Genomic DNA, 25,557 nt, shown 5'->3' with positions numbered 1-25,557 from the left:
ATTGAAGGAGATCCATTTAATTTCAAGCCTCTCCTCAGTGTCTCCCCCAATTCCAAAACCAAATGACAAACCTGGAAAACCAATGGACAGGAACTTGTAGTCTCTAGGATTGGTATTTACATGAAGCAGCCAGCCACAGTGAGGCCAATGGAGAAGAGACACTCTCACTTTGTAGGCATTCAGAAAAACTTGGATAGTTTAGGAAGGTGATCTTTAAGATCTTAACCAACCCCAAGTTCTGTGATCTTCAAGAAAATAAACAGAATTTTAGTTTCATCCTCTTTTGACTCCTGTGCCTCCCATGTCCATTCCCTGGGGAAGCACAAGTCAGAAACAGAATTTCCCCCAAAAGCACAAAATAGGAGGCTGAAAGAAATGCAATAACTTCCAGTCAATGAATAATTCATATTTAAGGCATCCTTGCCTTTTATTAGGGGGAAAATCAAGTCTCCAAGCAATATGTCCTCTTAGTTATACTTTGGGTTCATTTTGCATTTTGGTTGGGTACGTGACGACTCCATCATCTTTGTACAGGACTGTATGCATTTTTCTTTCTCTTTTAAATAAAGCATGTTTTTGTCAAAGGACTGCAAACCTCACTAAAGAATAGTCTTTGGAATCAGATGGGCCGGCATTTGAATCTGGGGCGAGTTATTTAATAACTTCAGATCATTCATTTCCTTTTTATAAACTGGGGTTAAATATATACCTAATAGGGGTGTCTTGAGAATTATCATTAGAAATTATTAATCCAAAAGGGCTGGCATGTAATAAATGCTCCATGCTGGCTGGATCTTTCCCCTCCTCCTTTTTTCCTGTTAAAATGTACAAAGTCCAGTTTGTGCAGCTGCATTCCATAGTGGTGACCAGGAACGTCTGTGCCACATTCAGCTACTTCAGAAGACGCAGATAGGTAAATGAGCAGCAGCAGGGCTTCGTTCTGCTGAAAAGAAAGACCGCTGATCCTGAAAAAGTCTGGGTTATGCCTGCAGAGTATAGAAACCTCAAAAATGACTGAAGTTCTGAGGAAGCTATTTTTAAATGGCCTCCTGCTGTGACACAAGCTTTCTGGGAAGGTTTATTTCAGGCCCATTATAGCTTTCCACCTGATCTCCTGCATTCCTTTTGGTTTATCTCCATCTGCTGGTACAATATGAAAGATACTTTCACAGAGACCCAGACAGCACTGGTGGCCTTGCTGTTGCAGCACCACACAGAGGTTCAGGCCAGCACTGAGATCTGGGAGGAAGAGTAAGTTTTTGGGACAGAAGAGAAATGGGGCTTCTTATGAAAGAAGGGGAATGTGATTTTTCTATCTTGGCATGAGTTGCTTAGTTGTTCCTCCTCCTCAAGTCAGCTTCACTTCAAGTGAACTTCTGGTAGGTGAGCTGTCAAGTTGGAAGCCTGGAGCATGGTGACAATCCACTCCACACTTAAGGCTTAAAACCTCAACCATTATTTAATTTGCTCACGAATCTGCAATGTGGGCAGGGCTCTGCAGAACAGCTTGTCTCTATTCTGGGCAGCATCAGCTGAGGCAGTTTGAGGGCTAGATGGGGTGACTCAATGGCTGAGGGCTGGAATCTTCTGAAAGCTTCACTCCCTTACACATCTCTTGGTTGATGGTGGCATCAGCTGAGGCAGTTTGAGGGCTAGATGGGGTGACTCAATGGCTGAGGGCTGGAATCTTCTGAAAGCTTCACTCCCTTACACATCTCTTGGTTGATGGTGGCATCAGCTGAGGCAGTTTGAGGGCTAGATGGGGTGACTCAATGGCTGAGGGCTGGAATCTTCTGAAAGCTTCACTCCCTTACACATCTCTTGGTTGATGCTGGCATCAGCCAGGGCCTCAGTAAGTCTGTGGACTGAACACCTGCACTTGGTTCCTCCATGTGGCCACTTGGCTCCCTCAGAACACAATGACCAGCTTCTAAGACAGAGGGCACAGCACGATGGGGGTAGAAGTTGTATTCCATTTTATGACTTAACCTTGGAAGTCACTTAGCATCTCCTCCGTCCTTGTCACTTTTGCTTAGATTCTCAGAGAAGGAACCCAGGCCCCTCCCCTCAGTGGGAGGAGTGTCAGCCTCATGTTGTAGGTCAGGAGGCTTTGTAGTGGCCAGCTGGAAAACAATGATCTGCCACAGAAAGGAACCCGCAGAGGTGTGGAGGCATGGGCTGCTTGTTGGAAAATTAAGAATTGAGGAAAATCAGAGCTGTATTTTTTCACTTTACAGTGGGGCTGGGTAGGGGCTGGGTAGGGGTGGAGAAATGGCAATGTAATAGAAAACATAAGTAGGATTCTCCTTGAGATTCTATTTATTTGGGAGGTGCTGTAAAATGAAGAACCTAAACTGCTTTTATACCAGTGAAAAGTTTTGCTTAGAAAAGCCTTCCCTATATCAAGATTATTTATCAATCAATGACGTCTAGTACTTCTAATATTTTTATGGCTTAATTTTTGATATATTTGGAAATTATTTTGATGAAAGGAGGGAGGCAGGTGTTCAGATGGATTGTTTTTAAGTGATTAGCCGGTTGGGACCTCTGTTGATTGAGTGATATGGTTTGGCTGTGTCCCCACTCAAATCTCATCTTGAATTATAGCTTCCACAATTCCCACGTGTTGTGGGAGGGACCTGGTGGGAGATAATTGAATCATGAGGGCAGTTTCCTCCATACTGTTCTCGTAGTAGTAAGTCTCATGAGATCTGATGGTTTTGTAAGGGGAAACCCCTTTCGCTTGTCTCTCATTTTCTTTTTGCCTGATGCCATGTAAGATGTGTCTTTCACCTTCCGCCGTGATTGTGAGACCTCCCCAAACACGTCGAATTGTGAGTCTATTGAACCTCTTTTTCTTTATAAATTACCCAGTCTCGGGTATGTCTTTATCAGCATTTATCAGACTAATACATTGAGTAATCATCTTTTTCTCATTGATTTGAAATTTTACTGTATCATATACTAAATTCCTATATATTTTGGAGCCTACTTCTGGACTCAAATGATTTTTATCTGCCTTCTCATCAGGATAATATCCCATCATGAGCTCTGGAGCTAGACAGAGCTGGGTGTAAACTCAGAAGCAGCTTAGCTATGGTCTACTTTAAGCCTCAATTTCCTTCTTTATAAGTTGGGTTGTTTTTCAAGATTAATGGCTCAATGTGTTGCGCAAAATTGTTCTGCATGGTTCCAAGCACCTTGTGCAGGCAAGGTTCTCGGGGAGACTGACTCTGAGTTGGAAATTTATGTTAAATGTTTTTCTGGAGTGCCTTCAAGCTCAACAGCTATGGAAGGGTGAGAGAGTAAGCAGGATGGGCAGAGGGAGAAGTTGAGTGCAATGCAGCCTCAGCCTCTCTAATGGGAACCCTGAAGCTTCAACAGCCCTTCAGTGTTGTCCCTGGTTGGACAGGCTTATTCATATGTCCACATTGATCAATGTTGCATGGGTGCCATTGTGGAAATGGATGTGGCCTAGGAAGACACAGCTCCCGGCAGCATTCCATGAGAAAGCTGACAGCTAGAGTGCACCACCAGCAGAATAGTCCTTTGTCAAAGGGGAATCCTGGTTGTGCATCACAATGTCGACAATAGTACCTCGCTCAAAAACTGATTTTTTTTCCTCTTCCATATTCCCAACTTTTTTTTTTATTATACTTTAAGTTTTAGGGTACATGTGCACATTGTGCAGGTTAGTTACATACGTATACATGTGCTATGCTGGTGCGCTGCACCCACCAACTCGTCATCTAGCATTAGGTATATCTCCCGATGCTATCCCTCCCCCCTCCCCCCCCACCCCACAACAGTCCCCAGAGTGTGATATTCCCCTTCCTGTGTCCATGTGAGCTCATTGTTCAATTCCCACCTATGAGTGAGAATATGCGGTGTTTGGTTTTTTGTTCTTGCGATAGTTTACTGAGAATGATTTCCAATTTCATCCATGTCCCTACAAAGGACATGAACTCATCATTTTTTATGGCTGCATAGCATTCCATGGTGTATATGTGCCACATTTTCTTAATCCAGTCTATCATTGTTGGACATTTGGGTTGGTTCCAAGTCTTTGCTATTGTGAATAATGCCGCAATAAACATACGTGTGCATGTGTCTTTATAGCAGCATGATTTATAGTCCTTTGGGTATATACCCAGTAATGGGATGGCTGGGTCAAATGGTATTTCCAGTTCTAGATCCCTGAGGAATCGCCACACTGACTTCCACAATGGTTGAACTAGTTTACAGTCCCACCAACAGTGTAAAAGTGTTCCTGTTTCTCCACATCCTCTCCAGCACCTGTTGTTCAGCAAAGCTTCATGCTGGAAGGCTCCTAGTCCAGGGCCCTCTGGTATATGGAAATCTTAATACTTTATCACAGAGGTGTGGAGAAGACATTGAAGAGGTGTAGCATTGCATGAGATGGAGGAAAGTGAGGTGGCACAATCTAAATAAGATGAGCTGGGTAAGGATTAGGCAAATCCAAAGCTTTCATCTTAGGTTAAAACACTTTCCTTTTGATAATTATTTGTTCATTTCTAGATTAAAAAATTGACTCTAATAGGCAATGTGAATGTGATAACCAGGCTATACGGAATGATCCCATGATTATAAGGAAGCATCTTAGAAAAGTATTTGCACAGATCAAACAAGGTGAGGTCATCAATTTGCTTTTCCTTTTATTATAAAAGTAAAATAAAAAATAGCATTTATAAATCCAACATTTTTTCCTTTAAAGTATTTGATCTAAAAAACATATTTACAATAGCAAAATGCAGAAAAGGGGGAAAATACCATTTTCAGCAATGATTGTAACCATGTTTAAATATTGACAAGTATTTTTTTTTTTTTTTTTTTTGCAAATCAGAGAAATAACCACATTAGAAAAAGCAATATGCCTTTTTTTTTAAAATGGCACATCAAGTGACTCTCATTTTAAAATATCTCTTTTCTTAACCCTTAATTTGAATGCAAAATGATGCTGTGGTCAGAAGGAATGCCAGGTGGCGACCGTGATACCTTTAATGACAATAGGAACGTAGCAGAGGGACAACAGCAATGACAACAGAAAGCAGCTGTGATCCAGCAGCAGCTGGCAAAGCTTAGTAAGCAACCTCATCCCCAGATGCATCCGCTCAGCCAGTGTTGTGATTGCTAGATACTATCTGTAAGTGAACCAAACTAAAATTCATTTATGAACCAAGAAAGGAAGCCAAGTTGAAAAGGTCTCGAGTTAAATCGAGAATGATTCAGGCGGGCCGGCTCTCTGAGCACCTTTGGATGCACTTCAGCTTCTGTCTTGTGGACAACGCAGTGGAATTTTAGGGCTTTGGTTTACACGGTGTGGGAAATTGTCAGCAGGCTAAATTTTGCCTTCTAGAGGTCCTTCCTGCCCATAATCATGGGGCATTTTGTTGAGAGTTAGCAGTGAGGCACCACTGGTCAGAGACTCGGTAAAGCTGAGTTTGCGGAAGGATGTCTCCACGCCGCTGTCGCAGACACTGTCACTGTCTCGGAGCTCGTCTGAGGGGAGAAAGCACAAATTCACTGGGGGAATGGCCGGGCTCTAAAAAGCTCATGGACTATTCTGTGGACAACTCTTGCCCACTGGCTTCTGCCAGCCACACATCCCACCTATGCCACCCTCACTGTCATGACTGCTCACCGTGGTGGGAAGGGCAGAAGATACTTGGGACATACTGTGAGGATGTTATTAGCCAAATGTCAGAATTAGCCAAATGCTTTCACATCTTCCTGCAATCTAGTCTTGTGTTTATGAGAATCCTTTCTGAATTCTCTTGACTCACAGTGGACCTTTTTTTCCCTTAGAAATCAAGTGTAGTTTTCCAACCACTGTATTATCTATTTCATAGCTGGGGAAACTGCTGAACCTCAGCAAAATAAATTGGTGACAGAAGCAAGAACTAAAAATGAGATCTCTCTCTGGGCCTCATATGCTATTACAGCATACATTGCCTTGAAAACATTTTTGGTAGCAATAAAAGTAAAATGATTTTGGTGAAAATGAGTCTATACTGGAAAATCAGGTTGAATTCCCTTTGTTTATAAGTGTCCTTAGGGATATGACCAAGACAAATTATTTCCTATACAGTGAGGAAGGAAACAGAAGTCTAACATACACTAATCAAAATGCTATCTTCTTATGTACCAAATTCCAATATTAGAATATTAAGACTTTAATGCCAGTGGCACGACTATCATTTTGGTATTGACTGATTTGTTTAATCAACCAATCTTTATTTGGTGTCTATTATGGGTTACAAACTATGCGATATCCTAAAAATAACTACAAATTAAGGGCTTAATGCTTAGGTATTTACTTTTTAAAAAAATGTTAAGTATTTGCTTTTTTTCTTTTTTAATATCTGTGCAGAAGGAGCACTGGGCTGTGACTCAGGAGATCTGGGTTGTTTTCCGGCGGATACATTATTCCTTTCTCAAGTGCGGACAATGACGTCTGCCCTTGCTCCCCTGGGAAGGCCCCCTGGCAGGGTGAGATGGGTGCTGAAACTGAGTGGCAAGAAAGAGCCAGCCAATTAAGAGCTTTCCAGGGAATGGGAAGAAACAGTCAAAAGGTTGGTCAGACTAGTGAGCCAGGGGAGCAGAGAAAACACTTGGGAATGGAGGCGCAGTGTGGAGGAAGAGCTTCCACAGCAATGTTTAAGAAAGCAAACGAGTAAAGCAGGGACACAGTTTTATCTTTAAAACCTCGAACACTGCTAGGCACACAGTGTATGCTGGATCAGGATTTGCTGAATGAATGACTGAATGAACTGAAGGGCATAACCCAGAATTAATACAATGTCACTGATTTTTTAGAAGAATCATACCGTCTGTTGGGCAGAGAATGGACTGAAGGGAGGTGGACAGGAAGGAAACAAGGGGACTGAGTAGGAGCCGTGCAAGAATTTGGGCAGGAAATGACGGCAGGCTGGCCTGGGGCGGTGGTTGCAGACAGGATGACACTCGATGCGTCGCATACGAAGTGATTAGTGGCAGAAAGGACTCCTGAGGAATTCTTGGGTTTTGTCTTAATCTCCTGGAAGATGGCAGCGCTTCTGACAGATGTAGCCAGTATTGGGCTTGGGTGAGGTACCAAGCAGGGAGGGTTTAGGACTGACCCTGGAGGGCTGTGACTTTAAAAGGTGAGTGTAGAAGAGCCAGCCAGGGGAGTGTGCTGTGGAGGAGCCAGGAATGGAGACGGTCTGAAGTTGAAGGTAGGCGTCAACCATGACACACTCTGCAAGTGGTCAAGGTGAAAAGGAGGTGACCAGATCTGGCAATGTGGAGGTGACCGGTCACTGTGAGGACAGCAGGCCTGGTGGAGCGGTGGGGATGCGATCCCAACTGCAGGAGGCCAAGCAGAGGGTGGAAGGTGGCAAGCTGGAAAGAATAACTCTAAAAAATTCTTTGAAGGAGCTCTGCTATGTATGGGAATAGAGCAATTGGACTGTAGCTAAATGGGATGTGGGATCAAGAGGGTGATTGTTTCGGTGTGTTTTGTTTTTAAAGATGAGGAAATCATGAAATGCTTGCTAGGTGACCTAGTCGGAGAGTGGGGAGGAGGAACGGCTAGTACAGGAGAGAGAGGTAAGAATTAACAGGAACAACAACCTAGTAAAGGTGAGGGGGTTAGACTCAGGGGAGAGGTGGCTCCTCAGCTGGGCAAAGAAATTTAACCCACCAAGTCCGGATGGAAGGCTGCCAATGTGGGCACAGGCACAGGTGGGCTGGCACTTGGTGCAAAGGTGAGAGGGTTCTGGTTTCTTCTGTTTTCAACAGAGTGTGAAGCAAGGGTGTTGCATGAGTAAGGGGAGGGAAGGAGTGTTGGGGGTTTAGAAATAGAAAGCATGGAATCATCATTTACAGAGTGGGAGAATAAAATTGTAGGAAATATAGGATTACTGGGCTGGGTTGAGAGTCCATTTCATATGGTTGCGAGACTTTTGGTGGCATGACACGTAGTCCCATATATGGTGGGGGACAAGGTCAGTGTCATAAGCTTGAGAGAGGAGGCAAAGGAAGAAGGAGATGGTTCTCTCTTTAAGGTAAATATTATTTCTCTCATGTGTTAAATTTAATCACCCACATCATGTTGTTTTTAGTATTTATTGTATTATTTAGTGTTTACTAAGTAGTTCATGTGTCAATGTGATTTTCCAAGGGTACGACCCCCTCATCTGAATGGTACTATCAAGAGAGGCAGAGGGTGAGCCCAGGGGGTAGAGAGACACACAGGGAAGTGTATCCAGAAAACGAGAAAGAAAACTGCCACACCATATCCAAAAAGAGCTGAAGACACCAGCCTGGGGGAGCTGGAAAATATCTCCACTGTCTTTTGTCTTTTTTTTTACCTATTTGCTGCCTTGTGGAGGCAGGCGAGAGAGGCAGCGAGTGGGCCTGAGAGGTGGTCTTCACTGGGCTGGAGGCTGCCTGGATCACTTCAATTGCTTCGGTGTAGCCCATTTGTCTCAGGGCCTCCACCAGCTCTCTGACTGTACCCCCAGAGACCTGTGAGAAAGAAAGGAAGGAGGAGCATGTTCTTGTGTTCGAGTCCCAGTGCAGGCTGTAAGCACTGACAGCCCACCCTTCCCTCTTCCATGCTGCCTCCTCCACTCAGGAGCCAGGAGGAAATGGAAAGGGCAGAGAAGAGCGACTAAGAAAATACAGTCTTCGAATCAAGTTTCCTGTTTCGGCTCAAAGACCACTCAGGAAATCACAGAGAAGTGGTTTGTAGTAAGCAGAGAGAGAGACAGCGAGAGAAGCGCTGAGGCAGTGAAACTCTGCCTACAGTGACGTCTACACAGTCTCCCTCTGTAAGCTGAAGCTCTGAAATCCATGCAGAAACAAAAGCTAACCATGAAATTTTCAACAGAAAACTTCACCCCATGCTTTTCTACATTTTATTTTTAGAAATGAAAAAAAAAAATCCCCGGGTAATGGCTCCACTAGGAGTCACCTCACAGAACATGACTCAATGCCCTGCCATGGGGTAAGGTGTGTTCTTGGGGACAGGAAGCTACACGTTGATTACAGTCGATTGTTTGCTCAGGGCCGTTAAAGTTCTGTGAAAATCCTGACCCTCTACGTAGCATTTTCACAGGAAGTCTCCAGGTATTTGAAAACGGGGAAAATCTGAAGGTATCTGAAAACAGCATTCTCAGGAAGATGGGCTGCCAACTTGGCCTGGGTCACCCTCCCAGGCCTTGGGCAATGACTGGTTTTCTTCTTCAGAGTTAAGGAAAAGGGAAGGAGATTATGCCCTGGCCAGAGATGTTAACAGAGTAAAGTCAAATGAAAATTGCTAAATCTGTAAGGTAAGGTGTTACCTCATAGTTGTCCATAAGTGTTTTGGAAGGAGCAGGACTCAGCCGGAAGGCATTATTAAGTATCCCCAGACCTAATTTCTGCGCCAGAGTAGCCCAGTTTTTGTCTGGATCAGGAATTTCTAGTAACTTATACAGCTGCAGCTTCACATCTTCAGCCAGCTGTTTCATGTCTCCTGAAGGAAATGAAGAAGGAACACACTTGTTCTAACATGCCATAGACACTCTGGAGGGACTGATCATTGCTGCCTGGCTTGCTGTCCAACTCCCAGTGGAACCAACCAAGCTACTCTACTTGAAGGTCAAAGCCCAGCTGAGTAGAAGGCAGTATACATTTACAGTAGATTAAAACTGGATATTCTCCTTATCTACCTCCAGCATCTTTTGGTTCTGAAATAAGAACTTTTAACAGTAGACCCTGGATAATGCTGGTTCCTCCCTTTAAATGACAGTGTGGAGATAATAATGGTTAAGAGAATCTGGTTTTATCACAACCCACCTTGTGCTAGTAAATCATCAGATGTAAACTCTGGCTCATATGGTTTCCCATTTAATATGTCAAATACCTGTTGGAAAGAAAAACACCAGAAATCGTTATACATCGAAGGGACCACTAGGGCAGTCTGTTTCTTTATAATAAACAACTCAGCATGTCCTCCTTAGGAGGGCCTGGTACCCTAATGATGGAGGAATGGCAAGAGGAATCAGGACCACCCTCCAAGAATATGGTACCCTTTGGGGGAAGAACAGCTGTAGGGGCTCTGGTACTGGGAAATAGTGCTTTGCACAAACTCTGAGCTGGGTCAGAATACCCAACCAAACTGCAGAGAGTCAGAGCTATAGCCTTTTGGAAGGAACAGGCAGTCCAGGCCACCATGTCAATCATCTCCTGCTCAGAGACCTAAGGCTAGTGAAGAGCTTACTCAGAGCTGTGAAGCTGTCTCCCTTCTTCCATAGGAACAAGCTTATGAGAATGAATTGTATAAACTTGCTCAAATTGAGATGTCTAGATGTTCACAAGGCTTGGTGTTAACCCTCTGGCAATACTGACATTTTAACTGAGGGTCCAGAATTGTCTTAGGCTAAAAGAAAAATTATTCTGTAGCTGCCGAGGCATTTGTGGTGTTCTCTGCAGTCACTCTGTTGCTGGCTGACCTGGGTAAGGAGAGCGTGGGGTCACTGAGTGCATCATCTTTTTGTGTTCTGTGGCAAGGCCTTCTGGGGAAATGAGGTGCTAACATAAAGGGAGAACCATGCTAACGTCAGTGAGCTGGACACATACAGGCTGTGGGAGGCACATGAGCAGTTTTAGAAGTGGAGCAGCTCTCGTCTCTAGAAGAACTGATCTTGTCATGTTGGAGATCTTGCATGCTGCCCACCTCCTCCCTCTGGCTTTTCTTCCTGGGGCCAAATGACCTAGTAACTGCTTTATACCTTCAGATCTCAGCCCTGTGGAGTTTTGAGGAAGGCTTTAAATCTATTTACTCTGTTTATATTTATTGAAATTCTAAGAAGAATTCTTAGTTTATTTTTACATCCTGAAATCACTTACCTAAGTCCTAAGCAAACAGTAACATTTATCCTAGCTTCAGAAATTGAGATGGTCACAATTATGGTGTGAATTTGGAATGGGTAACTTTTATGTGAATTTTGTGTTTTTCTTCTAACCTTTTCTCACATCTCAACTCTGATCTGATTAGGCATACACTTTCGTACTCAGAACTCAGCTGACCTAGATCTTTCATGGATAGGGTTTTTCAAGATAAAAATGGTCTCTGACAAACAGACTTTCTTAAAAATAAAAGGCATGTTCTTTGGGGAATAAAGCACCAGGAAGACCATCTGTTCTTACATTCCTGAACCTCTGACTCCCTCAGGGGCAGCCATCAGACAGATGGAGCGGCACTCACCTGCCAGCTGGTGGCCATATCTAGAGGCGTGGTTCCAGGCACAACTCCTTCATCCTCTCCTGCATTTTCCCAAGAGTCATCCAGGTCATAGAGAGGCTCAAAGTTCTCCACCAGGGGATCTGCTCCTGCGAAGTTAGATTACACAGCATTAGGTAAACCCAGATCTTGTCAACTTCCAACTGCCTGCAAAGGTCAGATTCCCAAAGGCAAAGCAATGTAGCAGCTTGAGGCAATCTCCTGGATAATTTTTAAATCATAAAACATTTCTACTGGAATATCCAGAGAAATTATTTTAAAATTGTAATTTACTTTGATTGTTAAAGTGTCTTATGACACCTGAAATAGCCAAAGATACTATTGAAGAAAAAAAGACTTCAAATACTCTTTCACATTTAACTCTACAGGATATTTCTCAACTGAATAGTGCATCTTTAATCTTAGGGCTGATGGACAGCATGATTACAGCCACTAGGGTGCACCCTCAGGATTAGGGTCCTAACTGTTCAAATTTATGCATGACAATGTGTATTTCTCAGCCCCTTTTCTTGGACACTCAAAAGAGCAAAGATGCTTGATGTCTAGTGACAGCATGGCCAGTTTCATTGCTGGGTACAGCAATGCCAGGGTTCTGATCTTTAAATAAACAAACCTACTAGGATGTATAATTATTGAAATATTTTGGGAAATGTAGTCTGCTCTTTAGCATCCAGCAAAAACAAAAACAACAAACAAATAAACAAAACATCAAAGTAACTCAAAGACTAGAGCTAGAGTTACTTCTCAGAGGCTTAGATGATTTTTATGAGTGTTTAGCTTGATGTCTAATGATGCCATTTTTGAGGGAGGAACTTGTTTTTATCTTGCTGGGAGAACATCAGATGGGTCAATATCAATAATAGAGGAGTACTTAATGGGAAACAAAGAAGGATCTTCATGCTGTTTCTTGATTTTATTCTCCCAGTTCTGGCCTGATCTATGAGGCAATAAATGTAATCCATGGAGAAATTAAGATGAACAATTTACAGGACCAAAGTGTGGAGGGATGAGCTATCTCTTAACTGACGCTTTTTTTTTTTTTTTTTTTTTTTGAGATGGAGTCTTGCTCTGTTGCCCAGGCTGGAGTGCAATGGCGCAGTCTCAGCTCACTGCAACCTCAGCCTCCAGGGCTCAAGTTATTCTCCTTCCTTAGCCTTCTGAGTAGCTGGGATTACAGATGCATGCCACCACGCCCAGCTAAGTTTTGTATTTTTAGTAGAGATGGGGTTTCGTCATGTTGGCCAGGTGAGTCTCGAACTGCCAGTCTCAGGTGATCCACCCACCCTGGCCTCCCAAAGTGCTGGGATTACAGGTGTGAGCCACCACACTCGGACTTAACTGACCTTTTCCACGACATTAAGATTAGGACTTGGTTTTTCATCTGAGTTTCTTCATTTATATATCAGAGAAACTGTTACTTGCTTTTCCTTTCATGGGATTCTGAGAATTCAATATAAAGCATTTTTAAAAGGGTTATAGTTTCTTTCTTTTTCTTTTTTTTTTTTGAGACAGGGTCTTATTCTTATTCTATAGCTCAGGCTGGAGTGCAGTGGTGAAACTGTAGCTCACTGCACCCTTGAACTCACAGGCTCAAGTGATACTTCTACCTCGGCCTCCAAACTAGCTGCGACTATAGGCGCATGCCACCATGCCTGGCTACTTTTTAAATTTTTTAATGGAGATGAGGTCTTACAATGTTAACCTGGTTGGTCTCACACTCCTAGTGCAAGTGACCCTCCCACCTCAGCCTCTCAAAGTGCTGAGTTTACAGGTGTGAGCCATCACGTCTGGCTGGTTATAGCTTCTTGTTGGAAGGCATTTAATTAATCAGTGTCTTCTAAAACTATTAATACCCACTGCAATCAGAGTTTCTTGTTCAAGAAAAAGTTCTATTTAACAAAAGAGAAAAGAAAAATATGGTGTCCCAAAGAAAAAGTTCCTATGTCTTTTGCTTTGTTTTCTTGAATTTATGAAGCATTTACCTTTTAAGTTAAAAAAAAAAAAAGCCTCTAAAGTATATCAGATATGTCAGGGCAGGCTTCAGATGCCAATTTCATTACACATATTTTGAGGTTCTAAATATGCAAGGCACTGGAGATTCAAAGATCAGCATGGATAATTTTCTATACTTCACAGGACTAGAGAATTAAATGGAATAACATCTGCAAACCTATGAGCAAAATAGGAGAGAGAAACATAGTACAGAGAATAAAGTCTTGAAGTTCACACTGCCGAAGTGTGATTCATAGCTCTGTCACTTACTGGAACCCTGAAGTGGGATCTGGTAGTCTCTCTAGTCTGTTTCCTTGACTCTAAGATGGGGAATAATGGTATTTGTCACAAGGGGTGATTGGGCATTAAATGAGACTGTGCACATAAAGTGCATATCACAGTGCCTGGTACACAGAAAGGTCAATAAGTGCTAGCCATTTTTAGTGCCTTCCACATAATGGGTCTTAATACATGGCCCATTTTCTTTTTCCTACACTTCAATTTCTAAGAGATATTTCTTTCAAAATGAAGTCTTTAAATGATTTCTTATACCAATAATCTTTTTCTTCTGGGGCCTTCTGATATGATCTGAGACTAATACCACTCAGAATTCTATAAGGAATCAAACTCTACTTTGAAAAGACCCTTTGTCATGGGAGTCAATCTAAACAATCAAACCCCAAACAAACAGATGAATCAGAAAGTAAAAACTAAAATGACTATCAGGGTAAAGCCCAAGATTACTAGTCCAAACAGTGCCTTATGGCAGATAAAATGTGATTTGCCATATAATTTTTATTTACCCTTGTTTTTCAGCAGTAGGTCTGTGGCTTAAAGAAGGCAACATGACTGCTCTATTGAAGTTGGGTTTGCATTCCTGGTAACATTTTTCATTAATGACCGCCAGATCACCATCTTACCTGCTGCTTTGAGAAGAGCTGCCAGCCTGGTGGACCCTCTCCCAGCTGCTATATGCAGGGGTGTGGTTCCATCGTAGGTAGTACTGTCCACATGGGCATCACCCTACAATCCAGCCCACACAAGAAAGCGTTAGTGGAAGGTTCTTTTGCCCTTTTGTCCCCACCTCCCAGTGTGCATGGCTCCTTGGGTCCTATTACTAGCCCAATTGCTACTTTGGGCTGGCTCTGTCATTGAAGAAATCCCCAGTTAGAGATGCCAAGCAAGGGGGTTGGGGGAATGTCTAAAGGTGGTACTCTGAAGCCCTCCATAAATGTTAAACAAATAGAGCTGATTGTAAGGGAGAACAGCAGCTACTGACTTCCTTCTTTGAAAAGATTTCCTTAAATCTCCCTCAGAAATTTAATGCAAAAGCAAATAAGTGTGCCCTTCACCTCCAGGAGCAGGCAGCCTGCCAATGAGATGTTGTCGTGCTCCACAGCCAGGTGCAGTGCTGTGCGCCCGGACTTCTGCTCCTGAGCATTGACGTCAGCCCCAGCGGCCACCAGCAGCAGCAAACATGGCAGGCTATTGCTCATCATGGCTAGATGAATGGCATTCAGACCTAGAGTCCAAGCAAAGGGACAGTCACAGGATGGGATGGCTAACTCACAAGATGGCCCTTGTGAAGCTGAAGGAAATGGCAAAAACTGAATCATGGGGAGGGACAGTAAAGATACTATAAGTCTATTGTTCTGCTTTGAAGACCCACAGTCTCCTATTATGTTCTCAGGAGACATGAACATAAATAAACATTCTCTGAATAAACGACGCTTTGTGTACTTCAAGATGAATCTTTACTCAGGCCTCTGCTTTCTCCTCCTACTAACTATTCCAAATCATCTTTAAAAAAATTAGCTTTGGTGAGCAACAGAAATGCCCAAAAGAGATGATGAACTCCAGGTGACTAAGGAAAGCACTTTTGGGTGCAAATCAAATAACACACGTTTATCAAATACCTAGTAGATATTTAGAAGGTGGAGAAAGTTACACCAATGATGTGTGATTGTCTCTTACCGTCCCCGTTGGGGTGGTCAAGAAGTAGTGCTGCCTTTTTGTGCTTGAGTAAGATACTGAGAACTTTATCATGTCCTTCTTTGGCAGCTAGGTGCAAAACAGAGTTACCCAAGCGGTCCAGAAGGCTCAGGTCGGCCCCAGCCCTCAGCAAATCCTCCACCACATCTTCCTGCTTAGTGATCACTGCCAAGTGCAAGGGCGTCTGGAAAGTGAAAGGGCAGGAGATTCACTGGTCAGCAGTGAATACTTACTTACAACTCACAGCTTGGTAGCTGTTACTGCAATAGGTGGGGCCATACTGCAGGAATATTTCTCATTCCCAGATTAACTTCTGACCTTGGCACCCAAGTTATCCTGTTCCATACTATATGCTAATGAAGTACATATACTGTACTAACACTTAGCCATTCAATAATTCATGTTTTAAAATTCTTATTTATCTTAAATTTAATTGACAAATAGTAATTGTATATATTTATGAGGTACAATGTGATGTTTTAATCTAAGTTTACAACATAAAATGATTAAATCAGGCTAAGTTACAAATCCATCACTTCATATACTTACAATTTTTTCTGTGGTGGGTTATTTTCATATTTACAAGTCTTAATAGCTTCTTGTTTCTCACTACAACCCACTGATTGTTGATTTTGAGCACACCTAGTAGTAAATTTAGTTTTCTTAAATATCTGGTAGGAGTTACCTCCAGCTGATAATTTTATATTAACAAATCAAATTAAGGCTATGTTTTCACTGAAGAAATTTAAATAAAGTACTCAATAGAAACCAATTAACAAAAGTGCCATGATTCTATGCTGACATGGAAACTAAATTTACTAAATTAAAAAATACTGTCCCATGGACTGGCTCCTGAGACCAGTCAATATAGCTTTCCTACACCCATTTCATAAAAGGTATTATAAGATTCTAAATAACATAACCAGGATAATACAAGTATCTCACCAAGGGGGCTCAGCTGAATAAAAAAGGTGAGCTGCTGATACCTAATAGGTACTTAAATAGTCCATTTGACTATCCTGCCCACAAGGTATTACTTCGGTGAATGCAAATAAGATGTTTTGCAAACTGTGTGTTTTCAAAAATGAGTAAGACAAATACAATCACAAACGTATCTTTCAAATAACTGAGTTCACTGACAGAGAACAGCAATGTATCTTTATACAAATCAGTTTATTTCACAGGAGCCTAACTATGACATCCAGCCAGTCTTGTGACAATTTGCCTAAAATTCCCTTTTCATTGAGCAGTTACTGGCTACAGCAGCAGGTGAGCCACCAACCTCCTAGCTGTGTAGGTGACCACAGCACATGATAACTGGCAGGATGAATGATGGGAGGGTAGTCTAAATCTCAACTACAGTGATTATTTACTATACAAGACCCTTTTTTTTTGCCAAATTATTACTTGCCCTTATTTCTTTCATTTTCTAGGACTATCAACCTGGCCTGAAATGAAGTGATGTCCTCAAAACTTTAGATATTGTTGCCAAGAGCCTTCTTCTCAAAAATAAGTCAATGGAAACTGTGTTTACTAATCTGTGTTTTCTGAAATGCTACTTGGGGAGATGGGAAAAGGAAAGAGAATGAGATTGTGAAAAAAGGATCTGAAATTATAAGATAGTATACCATTCAGGAATTATAAATTATCTGTAGCTTGAATTTAATTAAAAAATATCTTATGAGTCGGAGAGGTTTTTTTTTTTTAATATTTTCTTCCACAGTCCAATCAATGGTTTTCCATGATATAAACCTTCTAGTTCTTAAATCCAAGGATTATATCTTAAACAATTATACCTTCATGCTATGGCTGTGGGCATGGGGACTTACACAGACATTCTGGAAAGCCAAATATACAAATGTCCCAGCAACCCAACTCTTGCAGATGTATCTGGGTGAAATTCTGACACAAATCCACAAGAGGACATAAGTGAGGACAGTCACTGCAGTATTATCTACTGAGGTAGGAAGTTAGAAGTTGGTTAAATGTCTACTACTAGGAAACAAGGATGTTATAGGTGAAAGACCCATACTAGATTCTCTTCAGGAGCTGAAACAACAAACTAGCTATATGTAGAACTGTGTGGATAAGCAGTGAAGGCAGAAATACAGTAACATGTAGCACAATGCCACTTAGGCATTTAAAAAATATATGCACAAAGAACTATACAGATACACACAAGTGTGTGTAAAACTGGTGAAATCTGATTAAGATCTGTGGATTGTATCAACGTCTATTTCCAGGTTTTGACACTGTTCTGAGGTTATGCAGGATGTTACCATTGGGGGAAACTGGGTGAAGAGACCTCTGGTTTCCTTGCAGTAAATACTAGGACTTCCTAGTACGTTTTTGTAACCTCCTTTGAATCTATAATTAAATTAAATTAAAAAAATTTTAAAGGTTAATGCAAGGCAAGAGAAGTACATTTAATATAATGTGGATTGTATGTGAGAGTATATGAAAATATCTATGTATTTCAAGTATACGTACATTTGTATCCAGTACTTGAAAAACTACCTATAAACACAATAGTGACATTTGTGCTAGCAGACCTGGGCATTGTCAGGGTGGGCAACTTTGACTTTCCAATGTAGATTCTTCTGTACCATTTTTAAAACTATGAATATACATGATATGTATAATAATTAAAAACATAAAAATACATAAAACCCTCCAATAATGTTTTATGGGAACATACACAAATAAAACAATCCATACCAAACACGATAGAGTGGTTGTCTATGTTGGGGGAAGGAGAATGAAAGGAGAAAAAGGCTTAAAGAGAATATTTTCATAAAAAATCCTAACTCGGTGCACTTGGACTATTTTGAGTGTGTTTCTAGAGGGTGGGTGGGGAGAGGAATTTGATCATGACAGATGGTCACAGAAATGTACTTAGATTAGTGAAAGGTATTTGGGAAGAATGCTTAACTGTCAAATAATCCAAATTATTTAGAGAACTGTATCATTTTCCATTAAGAATAGTTACTAGAGAACCTTTACAACAGATAATCAAGAGTTCAAATCTTAGCAGTTTCTAATTCTCAAATCAAAGTTGCCATTGGGTGTGTGTTTGACACCTAGAAGGCATACTAGGGAAGCCAGAATCACTGCCCATTAATCAGACTGGTGGTAAGGTAGGGGAAAAATGGACGTATAGTCTTCTGAGAGTCCCCAAATCAGAAGGGATAGAAGTATCAATGGTGGCGGTTTCAGGGTTTTTGTCTCTAACACACTGGAGAGTCTCAACATATGTAACCAAATGATACAGTAAAGAGTTTAGGATATAAAAAAAAAATCATAGCTACTGGCCAGACGCAGTGGCTCATGCCTGTAATCCCAGCACTTTGGGAGGCCGAGGCTGGCAGATTACGAGATCAGGAGTTCAAGACCAGCCAGACCAACATGGTGAAACCCCATCTCTACTAAAAATACAAAAATTAGCTGGGTGTGGTGGTGCACGCCTGTAATCCCAGCTACTCAGGAGGCTGAGGCAGAAGAATCGCTTGAACCTGGGAGGTGGAGGTTGCAGTGAGCCGAGATCGCGCCACTGCATTCCAGTCTGGGTGACAGAGTGAGACTCTGTCTCCAAAAAAAAATCACAGCTACTAATCCTGTTGTGCTGTGTCCTTTGCAGATCCTATTTATAAACATAAAATAAGTAATTCCTTGAATATGACTGTTAAGCAGGGTTTGAAAAGAGGACTGACAAGCTACAATGTCCCATTCCTGGTTTTATTCATAGATTTGTGATGACTACAAGGAACAATCAGCCAAAAGTCTGCGAGAATCAAGCTTTACAGGCAAAATGACCTTACGGATACCAATGACCCCAAAACGGTATGAAAGTTTCAAGAAGACATCCTTTAAATGTAAATCTACAATCACACTTCATACTAGTTATTTTATATTAACAGGCAGTGAAGAGTCACTAACTTTACTTTTCCTTTGACAAGAAGCACAAGAGCCAGTGAAGAAGCCTAATGGTGACTTATATTGAATGAAAAATGGTCATTTTCCCCTATCAGGAAACCTATTAATTTTTACCTAGTCACAGGTAAAAACTATTAAGAGCCACATGTAAACGTTTTAGTAGTTTTGCTTTAAATGCACTTTAAAGCACACTTTTTTTTTTTTTTTTGAGACAGAGCGTCACTCTGTCACCCAGGCTGGAGTGCAGTGGCGCGATCTCGCCTCATTGCAAGCTCAGCCTCCAGGTTCACACCATTCTCCTGCCTCAGCCTCCCGAGTAGCTGGGACTACAGGCGCCTGCCACCATGCCTGGCTAATTTTTTTTTTTTTTTTGTATTTCTAGTAGAGACGGGGTTTCACCATGTTAGCCAGGATGATCTCGATCTCCTGATCTCATGATCCGCCTGCCTCGGCCTCCCAAAGTGCTGGGATTATAGGTGTGAGCCACCGCACCCAGCCTAAAGCACATTTTAAAGAATGGAAATAAAAATAAGAAAATAGATATTTTAATTTCCTTTAAAGAAAATGAAGTTTTAATTAATTTTCTTTAAAATAATAAAAGCATTTTCCTTTAAAGTGAGGAAATAGAAATGATTCACATCACTGCTATAAAAACTGAGAGAGCAGGAACAAATATCTTTACTAAGTAAATAATTACACAGGATTTTGGCCATAGTTTTGGAGTGAGAGATACACGTGAACCAGCAAACCATCTCTCCAAGGAGGATGAGGAAGATGCTTCGGGTCGATGAAGGGAAGGAGACAAATGGAAAGGTAAGAAGTGGGCAAGGGCAGGAGCCCCATACAGCAGACTGGTGGGAGTAGGGGAAAGACAGTGAGGTGGGAAAAGCAATCAGGGGCAGGAAGGAGGAAACCTCAGGAGCCGAACCCCATCTTGGTTTCATGCCAGTGCAGTCGCTCAGCCAGAAAGGCTGGCTGGGGTCACTGGGCTCCCATCACCAACGTCCAAGCTCTGCTTCTGCCGAAGTGGCTCCCAGGCTCCTTGCCTCTCCCTGAATTCTGCATATGCCCATCAAAGGGCCTCGCTGTGTCTCCAGCTAACTCTCCCTTTGCAGTGTTGGAAGACCTCTGGAAAAAACAGTTCCTCAACTTGTATTTTCAGCCCACCTAATTAATTCCTAAGAAAACCTGATTTGGGCAAAACTCTGGTGTTCCCACTTTTCCTCACTTGGAGCTGTCTTTCTGCTTTTGAAAGACACCTTTTCCTCCTCAAGCAAACTTTTAACCTTTCTGTGTGGTGATTTCAGAATGCTTCATTTGATATACATTTAATCTGGATGTTGTCAAGGTATGTTTCAGTAGACTTCAAAATTATTATAAATTACTGGCTTTTCAAACTTTTTTTAACTTTATTTTTCTTGACAGATGTGACATTTTTACTTTAGTTTCTCCCTCTTAAATGAAAAAACTGTTTGATTTCTAAAGTTTAAAGTTTGCCTTCCCCCAGCGGGATGCTGAATTTCATTGTGGCTTGATGGCTGTTATACCCACAGATCAAAGGATCCTACATCATAAAGTAACATTCTCAACTAATGGGATTTTAGATATTACCTACAAAGGTTTGTTTTTGTTTTTGCTACTGTTAACATTACTAAAAATAACATGCACCCAAACATAACAGAAGAAAAAGTAAACTACAGATTTTTCTTCAGTTGTTTTCTTGAGATTTCTGCTTACCTGGTACAGATCATTTCTCATGTTGATAATGTCATCAGAAATCAAACCAGATGTGACTTCTAGTAGATCCCTCACAAGTTGAGAATGAAGGTGGATGATTGCTAAGTGTAAGACACTGGAATGAAAACACAGTGGCAATAATTAACTAAAATGTTAATGAAAAAGAAAAGATTCCCAAGATGTGATTAGACTCAAGAATGGAATCTGCTCTCATACCTAGTTTTATTTGGCCCTAAAATGTTTTGAATCTATAAAATGCATTGAATCTGAGGTGGGATGCTGTCTCCAGAGGACTGGTCCCTCCCAACTGCCTACCCAAGGCTGCTACGTTATTTGTGGTACCTTCCTGGCCTCTGGGAGCATTCAGGTCTTGACCCCTTGATGTATAAACACACTGAGGCTTCCAGCCCAGAAAGACCTAAGCTTAAATCCCAATCCTGCCTCTATACCATGGCTTTGGGCGGTTTTCTTCTCTACCTTTCCCCCTGACTTTTCCTGACACACAGATTCTATGTAAAATGAATGCCTGGCACTAGGAATTGTTCAGAAAAACTTAGTTACCTCACTTAGCCCTGCTGCCCTCCTCCAAAATACAGTGTGGTGGTTTTTTAAAGATCTTTCCAGATCCCAAGAGTGGAGAATGGAGTGAAGCTTTTAACTACTGGAAGAAAATTCTTGCAGTAAACTTGTGAAGAAACAAAGTGATTGTATTTCCCACCACTCCTGCAAACATTCCAGCAAATATTCCCTCTGCCTGGAATGTTTTTGCTCCTTTCTTCTGCCTGAACAATGCCTACTCCATCCTTTATATTCCAGTTCAAACCTGACATCCTCAGAGAATACTTTCCTAACCTCCTAGGTGGAGCAAGTTGTCCCTCTCAAATTTACTGCTTGGTTATGCAACTGCAGTTTTCTACACATTTTTCTCGTTCTCTGTCCTGTCATCTCTGGGGCAGGTTCTGTCTGAGTCAGCCTTACAACCCTAGCATGCAGTAGAGGCACAAAAATAAGAATGATAGAAGGAACTTAAGAGCTTACGCTAATGAGGCTGAACATACTGGTGGTGTCAAAGTCACTCACAGGAGCGTAATTCTTTTAATTATTAAAAAACATACTATTAAAATTCAAAACAATAACAATAACAATCATTTTACCAGTGGCTACTATTTGTTGGGAGCTTTGATTTACCAGACTATGCTAAGCATTTGATATATATTGTCTTTTTACTATAACAATAATCCTATGAGTTAGGTAATATTATCTTCACTTTTCAGCTAATGAAACTGAGACTTGCAGGCGTCATATAACTCAGTCAAGGCCAATACGTGGTGAAGCTGGGATTCAAGCCCAGGCCTGTCTTACTCCAAAGCCATCTCTTAATCCCTTAAGCAATCCTGCATAGGGGATACATGTGCACTGTTCTAAAGACATTCAGATGAATGTCTAAGAAGATGACCACTCCAGAGCATGGACAGATTGAGGTGCAGAGCACACTAAAGCATCTCGCAGCAGCACTACATCTGGGACACGAGGTACAGGCTGGATCTTCTCTAAAATAAGCTATCAGGTGCCACTTTACTCAAGCCTCTTCCTTAGCAATAGCAAGTATATCGTACTTGGGATTAACTCCGGCACAGAAGAGCCTAAAAAACTAAATTGTGATTTTGCTACTTGAGAAATATTTTAAAACGGATGATCTCAGGGTTTCACTATTGCTTCTTGAAATGTGATACTGGAAGAAGACTTCTGAAAAGGGCCTAAACTCTGACATAGACATGATGCACATACACCAAGAAAAAGGTCATACTTCTAAAACTGCTCGAAAATTTCCATGTGCCGCTCAGCATTTCATAGCAGAAGTACATTCCCCCTCCCCCTCAAATCCTCACACCCTTATGGGAATTTCCCCAATAGCAGAAGTTTTATATATTTTTCTTTATTATATTTTCTATGATGACTAATGGCCACAGGATTTAAACTATTAGCCAAATATGACGAGCTGAATTAAAACAAGAGACTTGGGCTGTGATGGCCAAAAGCTGCCCTATACCTATGCTCTTATGAGGATCCTCTGGTCTCTCCAAGTCCCAAATCTGTGGCCTCTCTGAGAGCCGGCTTGTGTGAGTGTGCTTGGGTCTTAGGAGGGAACTTGCATGTGCCTCGCCTTGTATCCCTTCCAACAATCCTCCCTTCAGATATCAGCACTTCCTTTCTAACCTGTATGTGCTCATCTTCTTAGACTTATCAATTTAACAGGTCCCTGGAAATGCCACTTGAAACACTGCTGTACTGTCTTGGTTAACTGCTTTTTCTTGTGGTTGTATGCTACTGAATGCTAACTGGATTATTTAACCCTGAAAAAGAATTCTGCTGTTCATGGCTTTATACCAAGAAGGTTGTACTGGTTCCTCTCATACTGTATAACAAGGCCAGTGGTTATACCACATCCTTGGTTACGTTGCAAGGAATGAGAACAAAGGTGTCTCTGCTTGAAACCCTGAGGTTGTTACTTTCCTAAAGTGCTTGGTTTAATTTTTAAACTGAAGTCTAAAACACAGCACTCAAGAGCTCTTCCACAGAAAAGGATTTCTCTATGTTGATGCTATTTTAGGAAGGTTTTAGATAAGGCACTTGACTTGAATGTGAAGGCTGCTGTCTCTTGTTATTTTTATAGGCTTTTGAGATCATTTTAGAAGTCTCAATGAAAGGACTAAGAGAACTGTTTTAGAAAGAAGCCAGGTGGCTTTGCAAATACAATCTCAGTAATAGCAAGAATGGAAGGCATGGTGTTTGGAATGTTCCACTCCCACATATGGGCTGGAGCAGTCACAAAAGTCTGAAACAGTCATAGACTGATGACCATCAGAAGAGGGAGCAGAGAAGAAACCAGTAACTGGGAAATAATGACCAGTCCCTCTTAATCTTTCTGTTGTTGTTGCTGCCTTTATTGGGCTTTTTCTTGAGTACACTGTCATAAATATGCAGCTGGGATAACAATGCTTCAGGGATTTGGTAGGACTCTTAACAATTCTCCAAATATTACTTCAATAAACAAAGCAAGGCTTTTCAAAAAGTACCATTACCTACACACATCTTAGTTTTCTTGCCCAGAGAGATTCACTCTTAGATGAGTCCTCCAGCTACTACAGATTCCAACAGATGACAGCAGCAGGATGGAGCAGCAAATTGTGCTACTTAACCTTATTCACACATTATTTTTCTTCATCATTCCAGTTAGAGGACTCAATATATTTGAACAATTATTTTTATCTCTAGTCAGTATGCATTATACGATGCTCTTCTTCTTCCCCACCCAGGACAACCTATCATGCAAAAGTTCTGACTTACCTGTCCCCATTCTCATCCTGCACAGCAGTGAGATGGCGCTGGACGGCCAGCAGCATCTTCACGTCTCCTGTCACCGCGTAGTCGAAAAGGGCATTGGCATGCCTCTTTGCAAGCTGCATAGCCTTCTCTAGAAAGAGGTTATCTGTAAGGCAATGACCACAATCATAGTTGAGTGTTCCTACTTTTGTTTTATGGGTATGGCATGCTTAAGGACAAACTGACCAGCATCAGTGTTCTGACACCTTGACATATCATTTTAGTTGAAAATGTTCTTTCAATGCTTTTGGATTGTGTGGACTAGAAAAAGCAGAATTGGACACTGGGTCACTGACAAATATAGTTAGAGATTGATCTTAAAGAATCTGTGTATGATTTGTTAGAGGAAAAAAGTTTAGAAATGTATTATTTTAAGGGAACGACCATTATCTGTTATTTTAAGGAAAACAATCTCCAAACAATGTTAGATTTTACCATGATTTTAAATCACCAATATCTTGGTGAAATAATCCTTCATTGGAATCTCTAACAATTAGCTTGTTAGGCAATGTGTGAAAAAACACACATCTCTGCCATAAACAGAGACGTTCAATGAGCCACTCACGTTTTTGTAAAGTTTGTTCCATTAAGGTCAGGGAATGGCATTTGTGACCTTTGGGCCAAAACCTGTTTATGGCCTGCTTTTCATATAGCTCCCTAGCTAATCATGGCTTATACATTTTTAAAGGGGTGTAAAAAAAAAGCATATGTGATAGACACCACATGTGGCCACCAACTCTAAATATTTACTACCTTTGCTTTTATAGACGTCTTCTTAGTACGATCTAGGATGACCTAGAATCATGACACATATGCTAATAAGTATTGGTTCACAGTAAACGCAAAAGTACATTTTCTCCTAATCCTACTTCTTCAAAGAGGGCACAAGATAAAAAGAAAAGTTCCTATTTTAAGGCAAAGTTCTATTTCAGTATGACGGTTAAGCCAGAATCTAGACAGGGTGACTATTAAGCTTGTGGAAATACTTCTCTATTTATCTGTGCCAGAAAAGAAGTTGATTATCTCTCACAATACCCTAAAACTGCATGATTATGACTGGAGAATGTACATATAAATTTCTGTCCTTTACATTCAAAGATAACAGAGCAAAAATGGAAATCCCAGTGTGAATAAAATGATCTGACATATGCTTTTCCAAAGGCATACAGAACTTTGAAGAGTACACTAAACTAGATATTGATATATCATCTTTAGATTAGCAGATATCT

At 41.3% G+C, this 25,557-nt stretch overlaps 1 protein-coding gene and 1 long non-coding RNA gene across 15 annotated transcripts in view, besides 1 other annotated feature; one reads left to right on the top strand and one right to left on the bottom strand.

Moving 5' to 3' along the window:
• The first annotated feature begins 851 nt into the window (after window positions 1-851).
• LOC105377347 (uncharacterized) lies at window positions 852-24,299 on the top strand. 3 transcript variants are annotated; one of them, XR_939026.4, is made up of 3 exons: window positions 6,983-8,066; window positions 19,020-19,114; window positions 19,923-20,309. It is a non-coding gene; the product is annotated as an uncharacterized LOC105377347 (long non-coding RNA). The 3 variants fall into 3 exon arrangements; XR_001741780.2 differs by lacking the exon at window positions 6,983-8,066 and adding an exon at window positions 22,219-24,299 and having other exon boundaries at window positions 18,968-19,114; window positions 19,923-20,020; XR_007058205.1 differs by lacking the exons at window positions 6,983-8,066; window positions 19,923-20,309 and adding an exon at window positions 852-913 and having other exon boundaries at window positions 19,020-19,439.
• The window catches only part of NFKB1 (nuclear factor kappa B subunit 1), a 115,944-nt gene continuing 95,038 nt past the window's right edge, over window positions 4,652-25,557 (bottom strand). For all 12 annotated transcript variants that reach the window (NM_001382626.1, XM_024454069.2, NM_001382627.1 and 9 more), the window contains 10 exons: window positions 24,293-24,434; window positions 20,945-21,059; window positions 15,257-15,458; window positions 14,635-14,804; window positions 14,203-14,305; window positions 11,255-11,379; window positions 9,844-9,910; window positions 9,348-9,520; window positions 8,373-8,529; window positions 4,652-5,520 (listed from right to left, as the gene is read on the bottom strand). In NM_001382626.1, the coding sequence (NP_001369555.1) occupies window positions 5,360-5,520; window positions 8,373-8,529; window positions 9,348-9,520; window positions 9,844-9,910; window positions 11,255-11,379; window positions 14,203-14,305; window positions 14,635-14,804; window positions 15,257-15,458; window positions 20,945-21,059; window positions 24,293-24,434 (1,415 nt within the window). In that variant the 3' untranslated portion in view covers window positions 4,652-5,359. The remainder of the gene's footprint in view (window positions 5,521-8,372; window positions 8,530-9,347; window positions 9,521-9,843; window positions 9,911-11,254; window positions 11,380-14,202; window positions 14,306-14,634; window positions 14,805-15,256; window positions 15,459-20,944; window positions 21,060-24,292; window positions 24,435-25,557) is intronic.
• Window positions 20,124-21,323: an enhancer, noted in NCBI's record as "CDK7 strongly-dependent group 2 enhancer chr4:103521788-103522987 (GRCh37/hg19 assembly coordinates)". NCBI's record gives its function as "activates an origin of replication core promoter dependent on BRD2, BRD4, P300/CBP, MED14 and CDK7 cofactors, with strong dependence on CDK7, by STARR-seq in HCT116 cells {active_cell/tissue: HCT116}" and the evidence as "EXISTENCE:reporter gene assay evidence [ECO:0000049][PMID:35650434]".

Source organism: Homo sapiens, chromosome 4, assembly GCF_000001405.40.
Source record: "Homo sapiens chromosome 4, GRCh38.p14 Primary Assembly".
NCBI lineage: Eukaryota > Metazoa > Chordata > Mammalia > Primates > Hominidae > Homo > Homo sapiens.
The sequence above is the reverse complement of the archived record's forward strand: the minus strand, read 5'-3'. Positions and strand labels throughout refer to the sequence as shown.